A 22,700-nucleotide genomic window follows, 5' to 3' on the forward strand; every position below is an offset into this window, starting at 1 on the left:
AGGTTGATATTTTGGTACTGTAAAACAATAACTTAAGTGGAATAAAGGATGGCTTTTGATGAAAACATATAAAGAAGAAACATATAATGTGATATCTTTATGGGTGGGACAATTATTAAATTATCTACAGTGCAAAACAGGGTAAGTGAAAATCCTGGAGTTAATTTCAGGAAACTAAGACCCAAGCTCAAAATAAGTGCCTCAGCAGTTGAAAGTGCATTCAGAGGTGATGTTCAAATATAGAGCAAGTTGTTAAACGTTTGCTTAACTGGTTCGAGATGTGTATGCACTCTCTGCTTTAAAGAAAGCAAGCATACATTGCTATGCCTGTTGGCCAGCTGGGTAGTGTAGCAAAGGTCTCCCATCAGCATAATCTTCCTTGTTGTTTTGATTCTCCTGTCATAGAATGATATTCCTGTGGTCCGTTTAGAACTCAGTTGGCCCATGAGACAAAAGCTAACATCAGATTTCTGGTTTCAATTATCCTCAGCAAACTAACGCAGGAAGAGAAAAACACCTCATGTTCTCACTTATAAGTGGGAGCTGAACAGTAAGAACACATGGACACAAGGAGGAGAACAATGCACACTGGAGCCTGTTGGGGCCAGGGCTATGGGGGGAGGGAGAGCATCAGGATAAATAGCTAATGCATGTGGGGCTTAATACCTACGTGATGGGTTGATAGGTGCAGCAAACCACCATGGCACACATTTACTTATATAACAAACCTGTACGTTCTGCACATGTATCCCAGAACTTAAAATAAAATAAAATAAAAATTCTGGCTTCTGTAAAATTCCCCACCCCTAGGAGAGAACCAAAGGGAGAGACAGTCTCTCTTTTGCCTCTACACATTTTTCTATCTCACGTGATATTTACAAGTGCTGCATCCATTGTGTTACCTCCTCAAAGATGGGGCCAGAACTGAGGATAGCAGAGCAGAAACGTGGAAGGAACTGAAGGCCACTTTATTTCAAAAATTTATATTATGTTAGTTAATAAATTCCATTCTTATTTAAACAGTTTTGTCTCTGAGCTTTTGTTACTTGTAGAAGAAGTCTTCATAATTACTACGCCTTTGTAAATAGCTTCACCAAATGGTGAATTTGGACCTTCACAACAACCAGTTGCATGAATCACATAGAGCTGGCCTCATGACAGCAGAGACCCATCTTCCTGAACCAACTCAAACATCTCTTTCCCTGTGACACTGGTTCAGAGCTAGATAATCCCCATGGCGTGAAGATAGAAATAAATGTTTAAGAGAAGTATATTAGCTTATTTCATAGTACTGCAAAGAGCTATTTCCCAGCTGTCTCCTGAGCTATTCTATGAGTATATCAAAAAAAGAAAATATTTTCCACTCACTTCTGTATCCTTAAGACAGTATCTGGCATATCATAAGTGTTCAATAAATGTTTTATGGATGAGTGACCAAAGAAATAAGTAGTATTTTTTTTAACTGGTAATTCTCATTAGTGTTCTTTATCTCTCTAACAGTGACTAAAGACAGAGTTTTAGTACATTATCTTCTCCTGACCTGGTCCTATGACAGGCCTTTTATTCTGGTCATTATCAGATGGTGGAGGGATGCTCAGACTCTCTTCATCTTTCTCAGTTATATAGCACAAGTCTCCCTTCTCAACTAAGAAAGTTCTCTGCTATTTCTGTTGCTACCACCGCTAGCCTTTGGCACTTTGGTTTGATTATATAAAAAAAGTGAACACCATTTCCTCAAGTAGAAAAAAAATTTTTAATCAGATTGTTCCTAATGTTAATCCTAGTAAAGGAACTAGAATACTGTAGTTTGTTATAGAATAGTTACATGTCTTGTTCTTATGACAGTTTCAAGGCTCATTTCTCCAATATGTCATTTTTCTATGAACTTTCAGCATCTCATTTTCTATATTGATTTTCTTGTGACATTTTAAGACATCAAGTAGTTTTGAATAATTTTTAATTTTGAGATGCTATGGTTGCCACTGATGATGGATACTGGTAAAGTTAAACATATACTGGAAGCTACACAAGTATTCAGAAATATGTCTGATAATTTATTGTTGCACATATAGTACTTTAGCTGGATTTGATAAAGCATCTAAGATTCTTATTTCCACATGCAGTGACACCTCTAAGTATCATATTCCTTACTGTGTTCATCATTCAATTTCAATTTTAAAGATGCAATAATATAATGACTTTTCAAAGTGTACATTTAATCTAGGACTCTGAAAAGTAATTATTTAAAATTTTTCTTTTTAAGACGATATTATATTATCCAATAAGGAAAACAAGTATTTTGAAATTAACTTTGGTTAATAGTCTGAATGTGATATTTGTCATTGAAATAGTCTTCCATTTGCTAGTATTTTCTACACTAGAGGAATTGATGTTATAATTTCAAGAGACTATTTGCTTAACATAAAAGATATATTTTTTTAAAACATCACTTTTTCCAATAATTTTTTTATATATGGGGCTTATAAGAGAATTTTTACATTGTTTTTACTTCTGGATCACTTCACTTATAATAAAAATTTTACTTAAAACAACCATACCAAATTAACTCTGAGCAAGTAATTGTTTTAATATGACAACTTCCAGTTTATTTTTACTAGTTACAAAATAAGTCCATCTCTTATCTATTATTTACTGCTTAATAGGTATATATAAAAATAGCAATTTCTTTCTTTTGTTTTTGGTGAAGGTTATTTATTTGAAGTGCTCACTATTTAAGAGCATATGGAGGCGGCTGACCACCTTGAAAATTCACCTGTAGTAGGACTGTTCCTTTTTTTTTTTATTTTTAATTTTACGTTAAGTTCTGGGATACATGTGCAGAATGTGCAGGTTTGTTACATATGTATACATGTACCATGGTGGTTTGCTGCACCTATCAACTGTCATCTAGGTTTTAAGCCCTGAATGCATTAGGTATTTGTCCTGATGCTCTCCCTCCCGTTGGCCCCCACCCCCTGACAGGCCTCAGTGTGTGATGTTCCCCTCCCTGTGTCCATGTGTTCTCATTGTTCAACTCCCACTTATGAGTGAGAACACGTGGTGTTAGGTTTTCTGTTCCTGTGTTAGTTTGCTGAGAATGATGGCTTCCAGCTTCATCCATGTCCTTGCAAAGGACATGAACTCATTCTTTTTTAAGGCTGCATAGTATTCCATGGTGTATATGTGCCACATTTTCTTTATCCAGTCTATGATTGATGGGCATTTGGGTTAGTCCAAGTCTTCGCTAAAAAATAGCAATTTCTTTCTAAGGAGTTATGCATATCATATTTATTAACATGTAAAGAATTTTTAGGCAAATTCATTTTTTGGCAATTGATATTTTCTCTTGTTTCATGCCACCTTCTTCCCCTAACTTTATTCTATTTGGTTGAGGTTTTTTTTGGTTACCTTTTAAATTTGAAATAATTACAAAAACACTTCCCGAACAACACAGAAAACTCCCATATATACTCTTTGCCCAGATTTCACAATTGTCAACATTCCAACACTTTTGTCCCTACCTCTCTCTATCTCTCTCCCTCCCTCCCTCCCTCTCTCTCTTCATAAGAAGCAAGCTGTTTGTTGCTCAGTCATTGAGAGTAAGTTGAGAAATGTTGCCCCACTCCTCTCCAAACAAGGATCTCAATCAGGAAATCAACACTGATGGCAATACTGCTATCTAATCCACAGACCCCACTCAAACCTTACCAATTGTCCTGACAGTTTTTCCTTTTCCTACTAAAAAAAAGGGAAAAAACCCAGCCTTTCTGACCCAGAATCCTGTCCGTGATCATGCGTTGCTTTCAGCCATCATGTCTCTTTAGTCTCCTTCAATCAGGAACAGATCTTTAGTCATTCCTCATCTTTTAGTACTGGAGACACTGGGGAAAAAAATCACTGTTCTAAGCAAGAGGCTGGGTCATCTGCTGAAAACTGACAAGTAATTTTTACATGAAAACTGAGGTCAGTAATGCTTCAGACTTTGAAAGGAGTATATCTAAATCAGAAATTGTAGCCCTTTGATGGCTAGAGTGGGAATTAGGGAAGAGGGGATAGCCAGCTCATTACTTAACCTGATCCTGTGTTTCTAAAGAGGGAGTGACTGGCTTTTTGGACTATTCATATCTGCTTCAAGATATAGGTGGACTCTATGACCACACTGTGGGTTTTGGAGAGGTACTCACTTAATCCTGCCTCTCTTCCTTTCAGAGTACAGTGTCCTCTATGCCTTTATGTATGTATTGATAGAAACAATGTCAAAAAGTGGAAAATTATATGAGCTTCACAGAGATCCCAGGCAAGATAAATGGGATAAATTGGGGAGCTGTTACTTGAAGATCTTTCTTGGATGTATCTATGGACTTAGTTTTATGGTGAAAATATAGGAACGTGAATTTGACTTATCTATCAAATTTATATTGAACTGGATCTTCTTATTCTATGATTCCACACCAATTGAAAAATAATAATTAGACTTGAAGACTACATTTTCAAAAATGACTAAATTCACAAATATACCTACATAAACGGACTTTGTAAAGGATTAGCACAGAGGCAACATTAGGGATGAGGAAGGCTTGAGAAGAAGGGAGTGGGAAAAAATGAATTCTGCCCAGGAAGAAGCAGAATGTAAAGTACAAAACAAACAGAAACCTTGAGGCAAGAAAGAAGATGCATGTTGGTATGATGGAAGCAAGAAATGTGAAGAGAACAGAGACATGATAAAACTGGAGAGTTAGATTTAAAAAAGGCAAGGATAAGACAGCTTCCACATGCCATGCTAACAGGATTGGACCTTTTCTGCCTACAATGAGAGTCACTAAAAGGTTTTAATCAGTGAATGTCCCAGTCAGATTTCCATTATCTAATCATTCATAAAGTCTACAGGGCTTAGGAAAGACTGGAGGTAATAGAGACCTAAAGACAGAACTCTGAAGTAATTAAAGAAAAAAATTACAGTAATATGGGTGGTGGGAAGAAGAAAAGCAAACATAGTAAAGAAGTTTGAAGTTAATATAATCAATATTTTAAAAAATAAAGTAAATGTTATGGAGTGAGGAAGGAGGATTATTCGAGAATGATTTTAAGAGTTTTGAAATGAAAAACAAGATGGAACATTCTGACGTTGCTGAGATGTGGAAAAGAGGATGAGGAACAAGTTTAAGGGAGAGGGTGGAAGGAATTGCTCATGATAAATTTGGGTTTAGGGGCCGGGGACATCCACTTGTACACCTTTAACTCTTTTTAACTCTCCCTTCTCCTTTGGTTATATAATCACCTTTTTTTGGTGGGAGAGTTATTGTGGTAAAATACACAAAATATTTGCTATCTTAACCATTTTAAGCATGCATTTCAGTGGTGTTAAGTACATTCATATTGTTGTGCAACCATCACCACCATCCATATCCAGAACTCTTTTCATCTTGCAAAACTGAAACTCTGTGCCTGTTAAATAGTAACTTTGTATTCCCCTTTTCCCACAGACCCTAGGAACCATGGTTCTATTAATACATTCTATCTGTGATTTTGACTACTCTAGGTACCTCATGTAAGTGAAATAATATAGTGTTTGCCCTTTCATCACTGGCTTATTTTACTTAGCATCATGTCCTCAAGGTTCATCTGTGTTGTAGCATATGTCAGAATTTCCTTCTTTTTAATACTGAGTAATAATAATTCATTGCATCTATATACTACATTTTGCTTATCTATGCATCTGTCCATGGATGCTTGAGTTGCTTCCATGTTTTAGCTATTGTGAATAACTTGCTATAAACATGGGTGTACAAATATCTCTTTGAGACCCTGCTTTCAATTTTGGGGGTATACATCCAGATGTAGACTTGCTGGATCACATGGTAATTCTATTTTTAATTTTTAAAGGAATTGTCATACTGTTTTTTACAGTGGCTTTACATTTCTACCAACAGTATGCAAGGGTTCCAATTTCTCTACATCCTTGCTAACACTTGTTATTTTCCAGTTTTTGTTAATAGTCGTTATTCTGATAGGTGTGAGAAGGAATCTCATTGTGGTTTTGATTTGCATTTTCCTAATAATTAGTGATTCTGAGTGGAAAAAGCACAAACTATTTTTCCTCTGCTCTCATACTACAACAATCAACACTGAAAACTTCTGTGACCAAATATGTGGGGATTTCTCCCCACCAACAAGCTCGTAATAAATTCTACAGCAGACACCAGCTGAGTGTCCTCTAACTCAATTCAATTCTGACACAATCTCCCTGGAGGTAAAATCAATCTCACAAGACTGCCCCCAACTTCAGACACCAGTAGCAAGTCCAGGCCGCTGGAACTTCTGACCAACAGGCTTCAAGCTGGGGTTTCCATGACCGCCTCCTGGGGTTTGATTAATTTACTAGAGCAGCTCACAGAACTCAAAGAAACACTATGTTTACTGGTTTATTATAAAGGATATTACAAAGGATACAGATGAAGAGATGCATAGGGTGAGGTATGGGGTCAGGGGCATGAAGCCTCCCCAGGTACTCCACCCTCCAGAAACCTCCTGTGTTCAGCTACTGGAAGCTCTCTGTAACCCATCTCTTCAGACTTTAAGCAGATGTCATCAGACAGTCATGATTGAAACACAGACAACAATGTAGAAATGTAATTGGACCAAAAAAGTATGATTATAATACAAAAGACTGAGTGAGGAAACCCAGCAAGGCCTACCTGTTTAGTTCTTCTTTGGTTCCCTGGAGCAGGACCCCTTTCTTGTAGTGTCTCTGCCTGGCCTTACTATCAGGATAATGCTGGCCTACTAGAATGAATTAAAAACGGTTTCCTTCTCTTCAACATTTTGGAAAAATATGAGAAGGATTGGTGTCGTTCTTTAAATGTTTGGTAAAATTCACCTGTGACGCCAAGAGGTCCAGAGATTATCTTTGTTGTGAGATTTTTTATTATGATGACCTGCAATCAGACAAGGTAAGTCAGAGCATTTTTTCATGTCCAGCTCCAACACAGAGTGGTGGGGTTAGAGGAGAGTATATTTTTAGCTTTTATGACCTGCCTTGGGGAGAAAAAAATGTTCCCGGACCAAACTGAAGGTTGAGCTGCCATTTCTCTTGGCCCCATAACAAGATGCAGAAGAAGTGGGGAGGAAGAAAGTTTTAATTTCTGTAACCAGTTACAGAGAGAAGGCCTGGAAATTATTGCCAGACCAACTCAAAATAACAAAGTTTTCCAGAGCTTCTATACCTTCTAAGCTATATGTCTATGTGTAAATGTGCATTCATCTAAAGACATAAGTGATTAACTTCTTTTAATCTATAGCTAAGGTCTGAGTCCTGAAGACCTTCTTCTGGAGCCTCAGTAAGTTTACTGAATCTAAATGGATCTAGGTGCTGGGGTGATTACCTTTATCTTGCCTCCCGCTAAATCATAAAGGTTTGGGGAGTTCCTTTAGACACCAATAAACTTTTTTGTGGAGGCCTGGGGAGTTTCTTCAGACCCCCAATAAAACTTGTTAAATCCTAAAAGGGTCCTATTAACAATTCCTTCATTATCTTGTCATGCTTCAAGGCCCAGGAAAAGACTAGGCAAAAACTCTTGGTGAGCTCTTTGTTACACTCCAGCCTTTGTATACGGGCACTGGCTCAATCATCTTTTAATGGTTAACCTTGTTACTCAGTCAGTGCTGGGACAGTTGTAGTGGAGGCCTGCATTAGTGAGACCTAGCCTGCCACAAAAGGAGCATATGAAAGGAGGGCAGGAGAAGGTCAGAGAGAGAGAGAGACAGAGATTCTGTTTTCTGAGGCCTGCTTCTGAGGCCAATATTGTAACAAAACGCTGTCCTTCATGTTTATTGCTCTGACACTTTCCTGAAGTTGCTTCAGGGATCAAAGACAGAAGGCTGAATACCTAGCTACTTATGAAATAACAAGGCTGTGGGAGTTCTGAGCCAAGAACCACGGACAAAAATAAATAAATAAATAAATAAATAAATAAATAAATAAATATATCTTACCCTTCATATAGTCACAGGGATGTTGAGCATCTTTTCATATGCTTATTGGACATTTATATATCTTCTTCTTTTTTTTTTTTTTTGAGACAGAATCTCTCTCTGTCACTCAGGCTGGAGTACAGTGGCATGACCTCGGCTCACTGCAACCTCCACCTCCCAGGCTCAAGCGATTCTCGTGCCTCAGCCTCCTGAGCAGCTGGAACTACAAGCATGCACCACCTTGCCCAGCTAATTTTTTTGTATTTTTTGTAGAGATGGGGTTTCATTATGTTGGCCAGGCTGGTCTCAAACTCATGGCCTCAAAGGATCTGCCCTCTTCAGCCTCCCAAAGTGCTGGGATTATAGGTGTGAGCCACCACACCCTACCTTATATAACTTCGTTGGAGAAATGTCTATTCAAGTTCTTGGCCCATTTTGTAAATCAGGTTGTTTGTTTCTTCTTGTTGAGTTTTAGAGGTTCTCTAGATGTTCTTTTTTTTTTTTTTTTAGTGATGGGGTCTCACTCTGTCACCCAGGCTGGAGTGCAGTGGTGGAATTATAGCTCACTGCAGCCTCAAAGTGAGTAGCTGGGATTATAGGCATGAGCCAGTGTGCCCAGCTGCTCTGGGTATTAATCCCTTTTCAGAGATATGATTCACAAATATTTTCTCCAGGTCTACCTTTCCACACTGCTGATAGTGTCTTTTGATGTACAAAATGTTTAACTTTCATAAAGTACAACTTGACTATTTTTTCTTTTGTTGCCTGTCCCTTTTGTGTCATATTCAGGAAATCACTGCCAAATCCAATGGAATGAATTTTTTGCTCTATGTTTTCTTCTTTGCTATGGTCTAAATGCTTGTGTGCCCCCAAAATTCGTATGTTGAAATGTTAACCTCCAAGTTGATGGTATTAGGAGGAAAAGCCTTTTGGAGTTGATTACATCATGAGAGTGAAACCCTCTTGATTGAGATTCAAGCCCTTATAAAAGAAACCCCAGAGAAGTAGCTTATTGCTTCCACCATGTGAGGACACAATGGGTAGGCAGTAAGTGGACCCTTCCCAGACATTGAATAACACTTTAATCTTAGACTTCCCAACTTCAAGAACTATGGTAAATAAATTTCTATTATGTATAGCTCCCTAGTTTGTATTGATTTATTATAGCCTAAATGGACTAAGGTAGTCTTTGTGTCTACCTTTCTGCCAAGACTATACTATTTTGGTTATTATAGCTTGGAAATAAGTTTTGACAGCAGGGAGTCTGAGCCCTCCAAATACATTCTTTTTCAAGATCATTTTGGCCATTTGGGGGTCCTTGGAAATGTTATGAATATTAGTATGGATTTTTCTATTTCTGCAAAACATGTCATTGAAATTTTGAAAAGGATTACATTAAATCTGTAGATTGCTTTGGGTAGTATTAACATCTTACCAGTATTGAGTCTTCCAATTCATAATCATAGGATGTCTTTCCATTTATTTATGTCTTAATTTATTTCAGCAAAATTTTGCAGCTTTCATTGTACAAGTTTTTATCACATTGAATAATTCCCAAATATTTTATTATTTTCAATGATGTAAATGAAATTCTTTTCAAAATTTCCTTTATATTGTTTATTGTTAGTGTATAGGATTACAACTGATTTTTATGTTAATTTTATACCTGAAACTTTGCTGAAATTATTTATTCTTCCTAACAGTATTTTGTGTGGAATCTTCAGGGTTTTTTACACGTAAGATCAGATCATATGTGGAGACAGTTTTACTTCTTTCTTTCCAGTTTGGATCCCCTTTATTTATTTTTCTTGACTAATTGCTCTAACTAGGACTTCCAGTACTATGCTGAATAGAAGTGGTGAAAGCTGGCATCCTTGCCTTGATCCTGATCTGAAAGAAAAAAACCTTCAGGTATTTCACCATTATGTGTGATGTTAGCTATGGGCTTGTCATAATTGGCCTTTATTACGTTGAAGTAGTTTCCTTTTATTCCTAGTTTTTTGAAAGTTTTTTTTTTTTTTAATCATGAAAGGGTGTTGAATTTTGTGAAATGCTTTTTCTGCATCAGTTGAAATGATTGTGTGTTTTGGTCCTTCCATTGTGTTAATAGAATGTATTACATCAATCAATTGTTATATTTTGAGCCATCCTTGAATTCCAGGAATAAGTCCTGCTTGGTTATGTTACTAGTACTTTCTTGAAGATTTTGCATCAATGTTCATAAGGGATATTACTCTGTAGTTTTATTTTCTTGTAGTGTCTCTGTCTGGATATGGTATCAGGGTAATGCTGGCTTCATATAATGAGTTAGAAAGTGTCTCCTTCTCTTCAATAGTTTGAAAAATTTTTGAGAAGAATTTATATTACTTATTCTTTAAATATTTGGCAAAATTCACCTGTGAAGACAGGAGGTCAAGGGATTTTCTTTATTGAAAGATTTTTTTGATTAAATTTCCTTGCTAGCTATAGGTCTATTCAGATTTTTAAATTTATTTCTTTATAATTTAGTCTTGATAAGTTTTGTGTTTCTCAAAATCTGTCCATTTCGTAAGGTTATTTCATTTGTGTACAATTTTTTATAGTTCTTTCTTCTAATTATTTTTATTTCTGTAGAATTGGTAGTAATATACTAACTTCCATTTCTGATTTTAATAATTTGAGTTTTCCCTCTTTTTCATTCTTAGTCCATTTATGTCTGTCAATTTTTTTTTTTTTTTTTTTTTTGAGATGGAGTCTTGCTGTCACACAGCCTAGAGTGCAATGGCATAATCTCAGTTCACTGCAACCTCTGCCTCCCGGGTTCAAGCGATTGTCCAGCCTTAGCCTCCCGAGTAGCTGGGACTACAGGTGTGTGCCTCCATACCTGGCTAATTTTAGTATTTTTGGTAAAGATGGCATTTCGCCATGTTGGCCAGGCTGGTTTCAAACTCCTGACCTCAAGTGATCTGCCCACCTCGGCCTCCCAGGGTGCTGGGATTACATGCATGAGCCACTGCACCTGGCTCTGTCAATTTTTTTTTTAAATATTTTCAAAGAATTAACTTGGTTTCATTGATTTTTTCTACTGTTTTCTCTATCTCTCTTTTGTATATCTCTGCTCCAATTTTTATTATTTTCTGACTTCTGCTAGCTTTGAGTTTATTTTGTTGTTTCTCAGTTCATTAAGTTGTAAAGTTGCATTTTTTATTTGAGATCTTTCTTGTTTGCTAATTTAAGTATTTATAGCTCTACATTTCCTCCTGAGCACTACTTTCACTGTACCCCATAAGTTTTAGTATGTTGTGTTTTCATTTTTATTCAATTCTAAGTGTTTTCACACTTCCCTTTTGATTAATTCTTTGATCCACTTATTAAAAGTGTGTTGCATATGGACACATATAGGGGAACAACACACTGGGGAATTTCAGAGGGTGGAGGGTGAGAGAAGAAAGAAGATCAGGAAAAATAACTAATGAGTACTAGGCGTAATATCTAGCTAATGAAATAATCTGTTCAACAAACCCCAATAACACAAATTTACTTGTGTATCAAACTTGAACTTGTACCCTTGAACTTAAAATAAAAGGTTTTTTAAGAGTATTGCTTAATTTACACAATTTTGTGAATTTTTTAGTTTTACTTGTTATTGACTTCATGAGGAAACTGTGGATATTTTCTATCCTATAACATCTATTGAGACTTAGTTTGTGGCCTAACATATGGTCTATCTTGGAAAATGTTCCATTTACAGTTAAGAAGAATATGTATGCTGCTGTTATTTGGTGGAATGTTCTATGTATGTCTGTTGTATCTAGTTGGTTTATTGTGTTGTTTAAATCCTCTGTTTATTTACTTGTCTTCTGTCTGGTTTTATCCATGGGGGTTGGAGGGGGAGAGTATTATTGAAATCTCCAACTATTACTGTAGAACTGTTTGTTTTTCTGTTTGGTTTTGCTTATGTTTTTTATTGTCATTAGGTGAGTAAATGTTTATAATTGTTATACTTTCTTGATGTATTGAAACAATATACATTGCCCTTCTTTGTCTCTTGTGTGTAATTTTTTTTTTTAATTTAAAGTCTATTTCATCTGATATTATTATACCAACCCCTGTTCTCTTTTGGTTACCATTTACATGAAATTTATTTTTCCATTCTTTTACTATCAATCTATTTTTGTCTTTGGGTCTAAAATAAGTCTCTCGTAGACAGTGTACAGTTGGATCATTTTTTAAAACTTTATTCTGACAATCTCTACCTTTTGATTGGAGAGTTTAATCCATTCACTTACTTCTGTCATTTGTTGTTTGTTTACTATATGCATTATAGCTTTTTGTATTTCGTCTTCTGCATTACTGTCTTGTTTTGTGTTTACTTGGTTGTTTTATAGTGAACACTTTAATTTGCTTCTTATTCCTTTTTGTGTATATTCTATAGCTATATTTTTCTGGTTACCATGGGGATTACATTTAACACCCTAAAGTTATAACACTCTAATTTGAATTTATACCAATTTAACTTCAGTAACATACAAACATGCTGCTTCTTTACAATTCTGTCCTATCTGGTTCAATTATTCATGTCACAAAATTACAACTTCATACATTGTATGTCCAAACACAAAAATCATCATTTTAAAAATGCATCCGTTTCTTTATGTAAAAAACAAAATATAGAGTCACAAACCAAAGCTAAAATAATACTAGTTTTTAGGCTAAAAATCTAAATATTTTTAGTTTTAGACTAAAAATATATTCGTCTTTTAAATAATGTAGAAAATAAAAAGTGGATTTACAAACTGTTGTTACTACAATACTAGATTTTAGAATTGCTCACATATTTACCTTTATTGAGATCTTTATTTCTTCATATGGCTTTAAGTTACTATGGAGTGTCCTTTCATTTCAACCTGTAGGACTTCCTTTAGCATTTGTAGGGCATCTCGTAAGGTAGGTCTAAGAGTAACAAACTCCTTCAGCTTTTGTTTTTCTGGGAAAGTCTTAATTGCACCTTCACTTTGAAAGATGGTTTTGCCTAATACAGGATTCTTGGTTAATAGACTTTTTTTAATTTTAGCATTTTGAATATATTATCAGTCTAATGCCTTCTGACATCCAAAGTTTCCAATAAAAAATCTGCTGATAATCTTATTAAAAATCCCTTGAATATGGTGAGTTGCTTCTCTCTTGCTGCTTTCAAGATTCTCTGTTTGTCTTTGACTTTTTAAGTTTGATTAGAATGTATCTCAGTATGGGTCTCTTTGAGTTCATTCTAGTTGAAATTTGTTGAGCTTCTTTGATGTTTATAGTCATGCCTTTCACCAAATTTGGGAAGTTTTTGGTCATAATTTCTTATTCTCTCTGACTCTTTTTCTCTCTTCTCCTTCTGAGACTCTCTCAATGCATATGTTGGTCTGCTTGATGGTGTCTCAAATGTTCCTTAGGCTCTGTTCATTTTTCTTGAATTTTTTTAAATGTTCCTCAAACTCAATAATTTTCATTGCACTGATTCTTTTTGCTATCTGCTCAAATATGTCTTTGAATCCTGCTAGTGGATTTTTTTATTTCCATTGTTGTGCTTTTCAGCTCTAGATTTTCCATTGGTTTCCTTTTTGGTTTTCTATTTATTTACTGATATTTTCATTTTGTCTATTCCTCATTTTCTTGACTTTCTCTACGTCATCCTTTAATTCTTTGAGCATATTTAAGGAAGTAATTTTAAAGTCTTTGTCAAATAGGTTACCATCTGGTCTTTCTCAGGAAGAGTTTCTGTTGGTATATTAATTTATTTTTTGAATGGGTCATACTTTCCCATTTCTTTGTATGTCTTGTGTTTTTTTGTTGCAAACTGAATATCTGAATCTAATATTGTGATAACTCTGGTAATCAGATTCTTCCCCACCTGAGGAATTGCTGTTTTTGTTTTGTTTAATTTTTTATTGTTGTAGGCTATCTATCTCCAGAGTTAGCCTAAGGAATAAACTTAAGGTCTTCTCAGGTTCTTTCTGAGCCTGTGACTTCCCTACGTATGCATACTGACTTTTTAATTTTCCTCATACATGTGGTTGCTTGAATGTCCTAGTCTTTAATGTCTGGATCCTAAAAAGAAAAAAGAAAAAAAATATGATGTGGGAAGTAGGGAAGGAGCTGACTTTTTAAATACACTGGAAGCTGCTTCAGCCCAAGAAGAAATGACTTACAACAATAAGGGGTGTTGTGTGTGTGTGTGTGTGTGTGTGTGTGTGTGCAACAATAGCTGCTGGCCAATGTGTCTGCACTTTGTGATCAGAAGCAGCAATCATCAATCAAAACACAGATCCATAACATTTGGAAAACTTGGTTCTTATTGCCCATCCTAGTTCCTGCAAGATGACTGCAAGCTGCTCCAGGAACATGTGCAGAGTGGCCTCCTATGAGGGTTGTGGGTGGGTATGAGTATCTGCAACTGGGTTAAGAGCTGAAATTGACCAAAATTAACTGCAACTTATCATCTAAGACTTCCCCTGAATTTTGCAAGGATTCAATAGATTTCAGAGTTTCAAAATAGATACGTTAGACAGATTCTGCCAGTGCATTTTTTGTCTAGGTAGGAAGACAAATTCCTGTTCATCCTACTCTGCCATCTTCCAGAACCCTCTTCAAATTGACTTTATCACATTTTCTGAATGAAGTTACCACTTGGGCACTTATGGCTTCCAGGTCTATATTCAAGACAGGATAGCTCTCTTGAATTTCAGATTCTTATATCTATTTCTTACTCAGTTTTATGATGTTTAGCTCTGTGCCTCAATTTCTTTATCTGTAAACAGAAATCCAAATCCTCCCATCAGATTATTTTGATGACAAATGATTTAAAGCTTGCAAAGTGCCTGGCACCATCATTAGTACTTAATAAACATTTGTTTACCAAGAATTGTCCTTATCAATGCTTATACATCTTCTATATTTAAGTTCCTCAAACCCAAAGTGAGAGTCTAACTCTATGTTTTTATAAAAACAGTAAATTCTTATGGTCAGTGAACTAGTCCATCTCTTCTGGCCTCTGCATATCATGGTGTTATGCATAGGATAAGTATGCAGGAAATGAAAACCTTTGGATTTATTTTTAAAGAGAGAATCACAAACAGAATTATATCAACAGCAATATACACTTTGGCAGATTTTGTCTTACTATAAAATGTAAGCATGTGATTTGTAAATTTCAGTCTACGTACAGGAAACCTCAATAATATGGAAAGGTGCTTCGTAGCTTCTACAAGAGGTGGGAAAAACATACAGACGACACACACATACACAGACATACACATTCACACACACAGTACCTTGGAAAACTCATTATCAATTTTGTGTGTTTTATAAGCTGAAATCCCTTGGATATTTTATTTGAATCAAAAGTTCCATTGGTGAGAAAAATAAAACTTTGGAAACCACGACAATAAAATTTGAATCTACTCATGTACAAGACTATCTTCACTTTTCTGAAGTGAGTATGATGGAATTATTTGCACTGAATTCTGGAGAGATATTAAAAATATTTTGAGAGGGAGAGAGAAAGAGAGATCACATACACATAATTTTATTATAGTATATTGTTATAACTGTTCTGTTTTATTATTAATTATGGTGCCTAATTTAAAAATTAAACTTTATTGTAGGTATTTATGTTTAGAAAAAAAACATAGTATGTATAAGATTCGGTACTATCTGTGGTTTCAGTCACCCACCGGGGGTCTTAGAATGTACCCCTGTGGATAAGGGGGAACTACTGTATATACTCCTCTCTTGCAACGCACTAAGACAGAGCGGGTATAAAATGTGAGCACTTGGGCCAGCTTGCTGTGGACAATTTCACTACATTTAAAACTACCTTAGGTTTCTGAGATACACCTACTTAACTGTAGCTATGGTAAAGAAGGATTTAATATTCAGTAATGGTACATACTTGTTATCTCCTACCTAGGGAAATCCATAGATATCCCTTTTTACCTTGAATTATTATGAAATATGTTATTATTCATATCAGAACAAAGAAATAATGCAAATTTCCCATTTCCTTCACTCAGTTATGACTAAGAATACATCATAAGCACAATGAATACATCATTACATCACCTTCTAAATCTAAAAAAAGTTTATTTAACCAACGTAACCATATTGAATAAAATCAGCTTGGGAGAAAATTAGTTGCTTGCTAAATCATGGAAAACAACAATATCTTTTTGAACAATATATCCCACAGAATGTTGTAGAGTTCAATGCGAACTTCAGTCCAGGTCAACGTCCCTTGGCTTATGCTCTCTCATAAACTCTCGTGGAAGTGACGCCTTTCATGACGCATTCCTAGACACAAAAAACAATTCTTGGTCAATCACTGGATTAAACCATGGATTTATTTATTGTCTCTCTGAATGTTGGGAATAAAACAATATTCATTCCAAAGATATTCATTTCTGGACTCCTATATATGTAACCCATATATTGTAATAAGATAGGGAGATATAAAGACCAGGAAAATACAAGTTTTCCCCTCCAGGTGCCTTAAAATCTGTATGGTGACTGAGAAACATAAGCAGAGATAGGTAATACAATATGGTGGAGGTACCACTGGAGACAGCCTTAGGATGCCTGGAAGCAGGCAGAGAATGCTTCCTAGAAGACAGCATGCCTTTGTTGAACTCAAAAGCATGAAGGGCAAATGCCAGAGTGGAAGCATAATTCCAATAAAATCCTCTTTTTGTTTCAGATAATCAAAAGGAAAATCTGTTTCCTTAAGTGGAATAGTGATCATGAGATAACCTAGCAGTAAGATCCAGAATTAAGTAGCTAGAAGATACTCACCACCACCAGTTTATCATCCTCTCGTTTTCTCTTTATGGTGGTTGATTTTCCATCCCATTTCTGCACATGTACCAGGACACCCCCATCTAAGGTTATGGTGCTCTGTAGGCATAAGAAAATGTAATGACAATGTGCAGAGGGAGGCAGAAAAAAATTTAAAATAGAGTGCCTTTGTTCAAAGGAATATTTTGAGGTCATTAGTAATTCTAAATGACAAGAATATATTGCAACAAGAAAAAAAATGAGTCTCAAAAACAACAACATAACCACTTATGGATACGTTATGTCCAGAGTGTTATACAAATTACATAATTGGAAAAATTACTGTGAAGGAATATGAAAAAGAAATTTACATTGCGATGGTAGTAGTATGGGTGGTTTTTCTATTTCTTTCTTCCATTTTTATAAACATTCTCTTACATTGTTATAGTATTTTAATTCACTTGAAATACTCTATGTATTGTATGACTCAAATAAATTATGTTAATAATTTTTTTGTTAATTTGGAGACAGGCCAGGTGTGGTGGCTCACAACTGTAATTCCAGCATTTAGGGAGGCCAAGGCAGGAGGATTGCTTGAGGCCAGGAGTTCGAGACCAGCCTGGGCAACATAGTAAAACTCTGTCTCTACAAAAAAATTAAGAAATTAGCTGGGTGTGATGGCACACAGCTGTATTACCAGCTACTCAGGAGGCTGAAGTGGGAGAAACACTTGAACCCAGGAATTCGAGGCTGTAGTGAGCTATGATTGTGCCATGTCACCGCAGCCTGTTTGACAGAGTGAGAACATGTCTCTAAAAATAATAATACTTTTTTAACATGAGGACAACTTAATAAAATGGGGAAAAATTCACCAACTCTATATCTAAGGAAACACAGTTTAGATGTAGGAGTTCAGGGATCTTTGGCTTATGATAAAATGGTGTTCCTCCTTTTATCATAAAATGATTTCTTATAGCAGTGGTGATTTAGAAACCAGGCATGTACTCTGTGCCACTTCCTTATTTCTCACCTTGACTTTCCTGTCATCTGCAGTGACTTCGTCAAATTCCTGGCCCAGTATGAAGGAAATCTCAGTATTTTTAAAGGTACTTTCAGATTTAATGGTGATCACATCCCCATTCACACTGATGATCATGTTAGGTTTGGCCATGCCAGCCACTTTCCTGGTGGCAAAGCCCACTCCTACAGTTAGGAAAAGAAAAGATGTCAGATTTACATTTTCTCTCACGTACTTATCCAAGTCAGAGAATGTGTGTGTGCACACAGGTGCATGTGCAGGAGGAAAAAGGCACAGAGAGTTTCTTAAAGGCCTAATTTAAACAGCTCCTGCAGATAAAATCAGGCCAATACTTAAAAAAAAAAAAAAAAGAAAACCCACAAAGAAAACAAAAACACAACCTCTGAGAAACAATAGGTGTAGGCCTATTCTTTAAACTTCCCTTTCTCTGGTCTGGATACAACTTCTCAGGAGACCCATTGTTTATTTTCAACAAAAATATGTATAAAGGTTAAGTGGTTGGGAAGATATATATTTAAAATGTTAGCCACTGTTATTTTTCTCTCTTAATAAAATACTTGAGGCTACTTGACCATTCCATCTTAGATACTCAATATTACATTTAAGAAGGCACAAAGACAGAATTTTCAACAGAATTTTGGGGGTTAATGTAGAGTTATTTAGTTAAAGGTTCGTCTGTTTTGAGTATACAAAAGTCACATTTCATAGCATTTGTTGCCAAGTCTACTTTTCTGTGCTTCTTTCTCAAATTACTCCACCATGAAATGAAGATTTTCATGAATTTCTACAAAAGGCAAAATGTTTCCTACATTTATAACATTTTAGAATGGTGATATCATTGCTAATAATTTATAGGGGATATTTAAAAGGGACTAGTCATCAAATTGTGAAAACTTTAACATTTAATAAATCACTATTTCTTAGTTTAAAATAGGTTAGAAGCCAATACTTTGATTTCCAGTCACCTAAGTTGTGAACTTTTCTTTCTTAAAAAGGGGAATATATTTTCTTGTGCAAGGTATGGAATGAATAATTTACAGCCTAACATAGCAGTAACTTGCTGACACTGTGTATGTCATGCAGAGTTTATGGCAGTCATAGATTTGCTGAATTTTTTAAACATGTGCATGTAAATCTAAGCTCTTTCTTTGACTAAAGGCAACCAAAGGTTAGAAATTGGGAAGAACTGGGAGAGATATATGGCGCAAAATAAGTAATGCTGAGGCTCCGATTTGGCTGTCTGTCTGAAAAATGGCCACAGGTGTGTCTTCATGTCCTGGCTCAGTTACAAAATATAACATTAAATGTATGAAGTGAGTCCACTTCGTGAATGCAGGCAAAACTGAGTGTGATTCTAGAATGACTGACCTTGGGAAAAACCAGTCTCCATTTGCTTGATTTTGCTTTTATTTGATGATGAAGACAATACCTGCCCACTCATCCTCAATTACAGCAGCTAATTTCATGCAGAAGGTGTTTTATTGACTTTAATTATAATCAGCCCTTTATAATTTAAAAACACAGTATTATTAGAAAATATAAATATTAAAAGTATAACATTTTTCTAAAAATAAATAGTTAAATGGCCCCAAATCCTGGCTTTTCTGCATCAGTGCATATTAATTAGTTTATTGAATCACTCTAGTTTATTCTAGAAAGTCTCTCTCATGCTGAAGTCACCAATTTCCCTATCATCTAAAAACAAGAAACATAGTTACAGACAAGCAAAAAAATATATACTGTATAATTTACAGGAGGGTTAAGTGTTTTGCGATTTAATGATTACATTCTAAACCCTAAGATTGCATAAAATTCCTCCCCAGTTTGCTAACCCCAGTTCTGACTTTATTGGACTGTCATGCATGGGGTTGAGGGAGAAAGGTTTTCAAAGTAGAAGCTGCCTGAGTGAGAAGTTGTCTTTTCTGATTTACCTCCATAGTTATCTGAGAGACATTCATCCAATGACATGCTGACAGTTAACAGCGTCTAAAAAATTAAAAACCTCTACTATCAAAGAAGAGGTATGTTATATGCGTAACATTCTCCTTTTAAATTGGTTGATAATTCTATGGCATACTATGTCATTTCTAGTCAAAGGAAGTATTTAAGCCATTTAAGAAACATATTTTCTGAAATTAAAATTTTTGTCTATCATAAAACAACCACATATTTTAATAGATTAACATTGAGACAAGAAAATAATTGGCTAACATACGGTTACTGAAAAAGAACCTTGCATTAAGGGAACTAGAGTGCTTTCAGTTTGAAATGAAAATTATTGCATACTAACTTTTTTCCAAGTTATTGCTTAATTTACATGCAAAAGGGGATGAAAGAGAAACAGGCAAAGAGCTAAGTAAACCAAGGATACCCAAGTTTTTCAAATAAAGTCAAATCTTATCATTTCTAAAGACAATAAACATTCCATTTAGACACCTTTTTATATTGGTACACCTTTAGGAAACATTAGTTGTAGCTTTGGTTCAGAATTTCTCTAGAAACAAATGATTATCACTTGCTATGTGTGCAGCCTCTCTATAGAAAGCAGCATTTTTCATTTCTGGCCAGGGCTTCCAGACATTGCTATAAACACAGCTGTAAACTCTTTTTCCCAAAAGAAAATATTATAAATCCAGTCATTCCACAACGCATTTCCTTACCTACTTCTTTCATATAATCATCAAAGTTTTCACTGGAGACAAGTTTCCAGGTACCTACAAAAGCATCACACATTTTGTGAGTTTTCTAGGATTATTCTTCAAGGTGAGAAGGAAGCTGCAGTTTTCAGGAGGGTGCTGTGACCCTCTTGAGTCCAGATAACTTCCTTTTAAAGATGCTCAGAACATGTGATCTTAGGAATGACCAATTGGGAATGAGATCCAATCATTTCCTTCATTACCGGCCTCTGCATTTTTTTCTCTGAGTCATGTTTTTAATAGAAATTTCTCAACTTTGGTTCTCCCTGGCAAATAGTCACTGGACTTAGAGTACAAATTATTTTTAAACCACTAACAGGATATTTTAAACATTCCTGTTTTGACAGCTTAATGCTCAGTGCACTGAATTTCCCCCTATTATTCCTATACATATTTATCCCAGTGTAGAGAGGGGAAATTATTTTGAGATAAACTTCGACCTTATTTTGTGTGTGTGTGTGGGGTGTTATTTAAATTGCAGTTATGTGGTTCTTTTGAATTGAGGAACATAAGAACTGCCTCGGAGATTCTTACATAATTGCAAAGGCTCTTCGGGACACTCCTGTCTCAGGAATTACCTGGCGATTAAAACAAAATAAATAATGGGATTTAAAAGTACTCCAGATTTCTGATTTCAAATGTTTTATATGAATAAAAAAGTACATTCAATTCATCCACCAGTAATCTGGACTGTAGATTTAATCGAAATGATAATTTAACCTCACTCTTTCCATCTCCTAAATGAGAGCATAGCATTGATTTCCACAGATCCTTTGAAAAATAGGCCTTATTCTAAAATACTTTCCTCATATTGAGAAACTGCATTCAATTTCTGAACTGTATTATAAGTTCTGAATTTATTCAGATCAGAAATGGTGTGTGGTCACAAGCTACCAAAACCAATATCCTTCTTTTATACAGTGACCAATCTGTGAAACTAGTTTTCTAAAGTAATCGTGGTTTTCAATTCCCTTTGCCTCATGCAAGAATGACAGAAGTTGTTCACATGTGCTGCAAATTCCCACGAACATACCCAGATTTAGGGGAAAAAAAGAAACTAAAATATTTCAGAGTGATGCATCGCTACACTGTGTATCCCACTGAACAGTACCTGCTGAGCATGTGATTGATTCACAAGCCTGTGTAAGTGTCCTGAGGGCTTCCCAAAAATGTTTGTGGCAGGAAATTCTGTAAGCAACAGGATTTTCTGTAGGAAAGCAAGTTGCTATGAAAGCCTGATAAAGTTAGGTTTTGCATTTGTTAATGGCACAGTAATAACGCTCATCTACTCTGGACTGTTGCATAGATACACAGACTGTGGTGATGTACCATCCAGGTAGGCTTGCTATTAGTGATCCACCTGTTTCCCATTGAATAAGACTGTTCAGATGGAAAGTAAATAAAAGTGACAAATCTTAATAGAGGGATGTTTTTGATAATGTTTTAAATTAATTTGCTTCCTACAGGTTTTTAAATGATTGAATTTGAATACATACTATGTGTATTCTAACACTGCAATTTGGTTTTTTAAAATTTTTGTTTCTATAGATTTCGGACTACATGTGCATTTTTGTTACATATGTATATTGAGTTGTAATAAAGTCTGGACTTTTAGTGTAATCATCACCCAAATAGTGTATATTGTACTCAATTGGTAATTTCTTTCTTTTTTTTTTTTTTTTTTGAGATGGAGTTTTGATTTTATTGTCCAGGCTGGAATGCAGTGGCGCGATCTTGGCTCACTGCAACCTCTGCCTCCCAGGTTCAAGCGATTCTCCTACCTCAGCCTCCCTAGTAGCGGGGATTACAGGTGCCCACCACATGCCTGGATAATTTTTTTTCTCATATTTTTAGTAGAGACAGGGTTTCGCCATGTTGGCCAGGCTGGTCTTGAACTCCTGACCTCAGGTGACCCACTCGCCTCAGTCTCCCAAAGTGCTGGGATTACAGGCGTGAGCCACTGTGCCCGGCCCTGATAGGTAATTTCTTATCCCTTGCCCCCTCCCACCTTCCCACCTTCCCACCTTTTGGAGTCTCCAATTGTCTATTATGCCACTCTGTACGTCTGTGTGTACACATTGTTTAGCTCCCACTTATAAGTGAGAATATGTGGTATTTGACTTTCTGTTTCTGATTTATTTCACTTAAGATAATGGTCTCCAGTTTCACCTATGTTGCTGCAAAAGAAATGATCTCAT

General features: G+C 35.7%; 1 protein-coding gene and 1 long non-coding RNA gene across 2 annotated transcripts in view; one reads left to right on the forward strand and one right to left on the reverse strand.

Moving 5' to 3' along the window:
* LOC101927118 (uncharacterized) overlaps nt 1-22,700 on the forward strand; it is a 117,987-nt gene that overhangs the window by 1,171 nt on the left and 94,116 nt on the right. The gene's annotated exons all lie outside the window — the stretch shown is intronic.
* FABP4 (fatty acid binding protein 4) lies at nt 15,791-20,605 on the reverse strand. Its single transcript, NM_001442.3, has 4 exons — nt 20,467-20,605; nt 17,798-17,970; nt 16,786-16,887; nt 15,791-16,287 (listed from the first exon to the last, which is right to left on the reverse strand). Exons 1-4 carry the CDS (start codon nt 20,537-20,539, stop codon nt 16,237-16,239), a joined length of 399 nt encoding a protein of 132 aa, NP_001433.1. The 5' UTR covers nt 20,540-20,605; the 3' UTR covers nt 15,791-16,236.

This window comes from Homo sapiens, chromosome 8 (genome assembly GCF_000001405.40).
Source record: "Homo sapiens chromosome 8, GRCh38.p14 Primary Assembly".
Taxonomy (NCBI): domain Eukaryota; kingdom Metazoa; phylum Chordata; class Mammalia; order Primates; family Hominidae; genus Homo; species Homo sapiens.